Source organism: Homo sapiens, chromosome 2 (genome assembly GCF_000001405.40).
Source record: "Homo sapiens chromosome 2, GRCh38.p14 Primary Assembly".
Taxonomy (NCBI): domain Eukaryota; kingdom Metazoa; phylum Chordata; class Mammalia; order Primates; family Hominidae; genus Homo; species Homo sapiens.
This window is the reverse complement of record NC_000002.12, coordinates 61,782,580-61,785,820: the sequence shown is the minus strand read 5'-3', so window position 1 is coordinate 61,785,820 and position 3,241 is coordinate 61,782,580. Positions and strand designations below refer to the sequence as shown.

The window sequence follows — 3,241 nt, the reverse complement described above, 5'->3', positions numbered from 1 at the left end:
TACAATTCCTGGTCAACATGTAATTTCCATGGAAACAGATCACACACTGGAGAACAAAGGAATTGAATTGTGTTTGAGCTGGATTTTGTCATCTCCATGGAGCTATCTGTGCTAAGTATTTGAGTATTCAGGGAAACTATAATTTAAAATCACCAAAGGCATAATATTTGATGCTTTTACAAATTGCAATATCTGCTATTAATTTTAAAGATTTTTATTAATATGTAGAGATAGTATAAAGGGAAGTTTGAATATGTCTTGAATCATACTTCAACATCAACAAATAAAATAACTTTTTTGGCCAGGCACAGTGGCTCACGCCTGCAATCCCAGCACTTTGGGAGGCCGAGGCGGGCGGATCACAAGGTCAGGAGATCGAGACCATCCTGGCTAACATGGTGAAACCTCGTCTCTACTTAAAAAAAAAAAAAAAAAATTAGCGAGGCGTGGTGGCAGGCGTCTGTAGTCCCAGCTACTCGGGAGGCTGAGGCAGGAGAATGGCGTGAACCCGGGAGGTGGAGTTTGCAGTGACCCGAGATCGCGCCACTGCACTCCAGCCTGAGCGACAGAGCGAGACTCCGTCTCAAAAACAAGCAAACAAACAAAAAACAATCTTTTTTGCCTCTTTGCTAGTGCAGAAAAGGGAAAGAATTAAAAGCTCAGCCTGGGCCAGGCGCAGTGGCTCACGCCTGTAATCCCAGCTACTCGGGAGCCTGAGGCAGGAGAATCGCTTGAACCCGGGAGGCGGAGGATGCAGTGAGCCGAGATGGTGCCACTGCACTCCAGCCTGGGCGACAGAGCGAGACCCTGTCACAAACAAACAAACTCAGCCTGCTAAGAGTGGTGTTGCTGTTTTTGGTCTATAGATAAAATAATCTGCTCTGATGTCATTCAATTGTACAAAAAAGGTCTCCGGTCTACATTTGCTGTCTAGCAATGAGCTGTCTAAATTTTGATTCCAAATATGACTAATCAAATAAGGACAGTTTGTTTAAAACACATGCATAGAAGCAATAAGGTGAAGATGCTTTCACTTGCTTGCTAATGCTGTAAACCTTTATGACTCGTGTAATGTATTCTTTCCTCAAGCACTGTAAAAACTCACCCAGAAACTTCAAATCACTAGAAATACTGTATTTTGAAAATACAATATTTCTCTAATCTATTCTTGGAATAATAATCTAATCTATTTTTGGAATAATAATCTAACTTTGTAAATGGAAATTCAGACATCTATCCAAACATCTCGAAATGCTCAAGAGGCATCAGAAACACCACAAGATTTTCCTTTGATTCTCATGTATTGTACATCAGTTGCTGATTTTATTTTTACATTTCAATAAATATAATCAGAACAAATATAGAAAAAAGGAAAATAATTATAGAAGCCATACATACTTTTCATTTAAAATGTGCACATAGGCTATTATTATAAAGAAGTTACATCTCACTTCCACTGCATGTTCCACAATCATAACAACTGTTGTTGTTTTTTTTTTTTTTTGAGACGGAGTTTCCCTCTTGTCGCCCAGGCTGGAGTGCAGTGGTTCTATCTGGGATCACTGCAAGCTCTGCCTCCCAAGTTCAAGCGATTCTCCTGCCTCAGCCTCCTGAGTAGCTGGGATTACAGGCATGTGCCACCATGCCCGGCTAATTTTTTGTATGTTTAGTAGAGATGGGGTTTCTCTATGTTGGCCAGGCTGGTCTCGAGTACCCAGAGATTTGCTTGTTTCCCATTGTCTTTCAGCGTCTGGCTGCTCCCTGTGTCACCCAGATGGACGTCCTTGTCATTAGGTCTCTGACCTACTCCTAAACCTAAAAACTATCTGTCTCAAAGTCTCTTCTATTATATTACCTAGTCCCTCAGATTGGAATCATATTCACTGATTCTCCTGGAATGTTCTTTTTTTAAAATTTTTTTAATTTTTAATTTTTTGTAGAGACAGTCTTGCTGTGTTGCCCAGGCTGGTCTTGAACCCCTGGCCTCAAGCTCACGCCTGTAATACCGGCACTTTGGGAGGCCGAGGTGGTAGAAGCACATGAGACCAGGAGTTTGAAACAAGCCTGGGCAATATAGCCAGATCCTGCCTTTACAAAAAATAAAAAAATTATCCAGACATGGTGGTGGATGCCTGTAGTCCCAGCTCCTTGGGAGTCTGAGGTGGGAGGATCACTTGAGCTCAGGAGTTGGAGACTGCAGTGAGCTATAATTGCACCACTGCACTCCATCCTGGGCGACAGAGTGAGACCCTGGCTTTAGAAAATAACTAAACACTTAAACATTTTAAATTAAAAAAATTTAATAAAAAAATACAATTGATTTTTGTACGTTGAACTTGTATCCTGCAACCTTGCTAAACTCACTTATTTGTCCTAGATTTTTTTTGACAGATTATTTTGGATTTTCTTTGTAAACAACCATGTCATCTGCAAATAAAGAAAGGTTTTGTTGTTGTTGTTTTCCTTCTTTCTAATCTGTGTGCCTTTTCTTTCTTTATCTTGCTAACTGGCTAGGACTTCCATAACCATGTTGAGTAGGAGTGGTGAGAGTAGACAGCTGTGCCTTGTTCCTAATCTTAGGGGGAAAGCATTCAGCCTTTCATCACTAAGGATAATGTTAGCTGTAGGTTTTTTTTGAAGATACCCTCTATCATGTTGAGGGAAGTCCCTTCTATCCCTAGTCTGCTGAGTGGTTTTATTTTCTTTCAATCATAAATTGGCATTTACCTTTTTCTATTTTTCTCAATTGATACACAATTGGTAATTATGTATCAATTAACGATCATGTAGTTTTCCTTCCTTAGGCTGTTAAGAAGGTAGATGACATTGATTTTCTTTTCTCTCTCTCTCTTTTTTTTTTTTTGAGAGGGAGTTTTGCTCTTGTTTCCCAGGCTGGAGTGCAATGACAAGATCTCGGCTCACTGCAACCTCTTCCTCCCGGGTTCAAGCGATTCTCCTACCTCAGCCTCTTGAGTAGCTGGGATTACAGGTGCCCAACACCACGCCTGGCTAATGTTTGTATTTTTAGTAAAGACGGCGTTTCGCCATATTGGCCAGGCTGATCTCAAACTCCTGACCTCAGGTGATCCACCCACCTCAGCCTTCCAAAGTGCTGGGATTACAGGCGTGAGCCACTGCGCCCGGCCGACACAGATTTTCAAATATGGAACCAGCTTACATTCCCAAAATAATCCTTGCTTGGTCATGATGTGGTCAATTTTTTGTTACTGAATTAAATTTT

General features: G+C 41.0%; 1 annotated feature.

The window, feature by feature from the left end:
• Nucleotides 2,481–2,681: a silencer, noted in NCBI's record as "peak3722 fragment used in MPRA reporter construct". NCBI's record gives its function as "represses an SCP1 promoter by STARR-seq MPRAs in K562 erythroleukemia cells {active_cell/tissue: K562}" and the evidence as "EXISTENCE:reporter gene assay evidence [ECO:0000049][PMID:32103011]".